The sequence below is a fragment of the Homo sapiens genome, chromosome 21 (assembly GCF_000001405.40).
Source record: "Homo sapiens chromosome 21, GRCh38.p14 Primary Assembly".
Taxonomy (NCBI): domain Eukaryota; kingdom Metazoa; phylum Chordata; class Mammalia; order Primates; family Hominidae; genus Homo; species Homo sapiens.
The window spans coordinates 34348907-34351002 of NC_000021.9; positions in this window are offsets into that span (position 1 = coordinate 34348907).

The window sequence follows — 2096 nt, forward strand, 5'->3', positions numbered from 1 at the left end:
GGAGGGGAGCAGGAAAGACAACTATTGGATACTAGGCTTAGTACCTGGGTGACAAAATAATCTTTACAACAAACCCCCATGACACAAGTTTATCTATATAACAACCCCTGCACGTGTACCCCCAAACCTAAAATATAAGTTTTTTTTACAAGAAGCTATTACTTTAAATAAATAAATAAATAAATAAATAAATAAATAAGGTTTCTTGCACATTGCCTGGCACTCAGGAGTTGCTCAATAAATGGGAGTAGCTGAGCTGGTAGCAATGGCTGCTGACGTTACTGATGGGCAGGGTGAACCTGAAAGTGCTGGCTGTGGGCTGTAGGTTCAGATTGCACTTGAACTTTGCTGCCACCAGTAATTTCCTGAGAGTGGATAATGCAGGGTTGCTTGAACAGTCGAGACACATGAGAATCTGAAAGTGCTGCTGGAGCCTGGGCTCTCTAACGGAAGCAGAGCACAAGGTCAAGTTTCCTGGGCAAGACCTTTCCCAGAGGCTCGAACAAGGACCTAAGTTCTTGCCCAACCTTTGACAAGTTTCCAGAGATGTTATGAAGAGGAGACAGTTCTTTCTGAGACTGGGCAAACAGGGAAGGTAGTGAAAAATGCTAATAATTTGTTTTGTTTTGTTTTTGAGACGCAGTCTCGCTTTGTTGCCCAGGTTGGAGTGCAGTGGCACCATCTCGGCTCATTGCAACCTCTGCCTTTTGGGTTCAAGTGATTCTCCTGCCCCAGCCTCCCCAGTAGCTGGGACTACAGGTGTGCACCACCATACCTGGCTAATTTTTGTATTTTTAGTAGAGACAGGGTTTCACCATATTGGCCAGGCTGGTCTTGAACTCTGAGCTCAGGCAATCTGTCCACTTCAGCCTCCCAAAGTGCTGGGATTACAGGTGTCAGCCACCACACCCAGCCTAAATACTAAGAATTTTTAAAGAAGGAATTGATGCTTATAGAATTTTGGTTCCTTTTTCTGTAGAATCAATAGGCTGGACTAGATCATCTTTAAGGCCCCATATAGTTGTTTTGTGTTTTTTTGAGACAGGGTCTTGCTCTGTTGCCCAGGCTGGAGTGCAGTGGTACAAGCCCAGCTCGCTGCAGCCTTGACCTCCTAGGCTCAAGTGATTCTCCCCCATCAGCCTCTCGAGTTGCTGGGACCACAGGCATGCACCACCACACCTGGCTAATTTTTATTTTTCTTTGTAGAGTCAGGAGTCTCACTACATTGCCCAGGCTGGTCTCAAACCTGGGCTCAAGTGATCCTCCCAATTCTGCCTCTTGAAATCCTGGGATTACAGGCGTGAACCACCACCCTTGGCTAATTCTAACATTCTTGAATCCTAAGAGTTCATGACCAAGGAATACAAAAAGCACAGCCCTGTTGGTGAGGATTTGGAGCAGCTGGATCTTCATTCATTACTGGTAGGGATGTAAAATGGTCTAGCAACTCTGAAAACTCATCTGGCAGTTTCTTATAAAATTAATCATGTACCTGCTATGTAACCCAGAGATTGCCCAAAGAAATGAAAATGTATGTTCACACCAAAACCTGTACATGAACTTTCATAGCATCTCTATTTGTGATAGCAAAAGCTGGAAATAACTCAGAGTAACAGATATTTAATGGTTAAATATTCATATGATGGGGTACTACTCAGCAATAAAACGAAACTAGCTCTTGATATACACAACTCGGATGGATGTCAAGAGCATTATATAGAGTGAGGAAAAGCTGATCTCAAAAGGTTGCCTACTGTCTGTTCTTATTTCTTTAACGTTCTCAAAATAACAGATTTATAGAGGGGATACCTGCTTAGTGGTTACCATGGCCTAGGGATTGCAGAAAGGGTTCAACTATTAAGGGGTGGCACTAGGGAGTTTCTTAAGGGTGATATAGCAATTTTGTTCCTTGGTTTTGGTGGTGGTTTCCCAAATCTATACATCAGATTAAATTATATCAAGGCTGGGTGTGGTGGCTCATACCTATAATCCCAGCACTTTGGGAAGCCGAGGCGAGAGGATCGCTTGAGACCAGGAGTTGAGGACCAGCCTGGGCAACCTAGCAAGATCCCATCTCTACAAAAAATAACAATCAC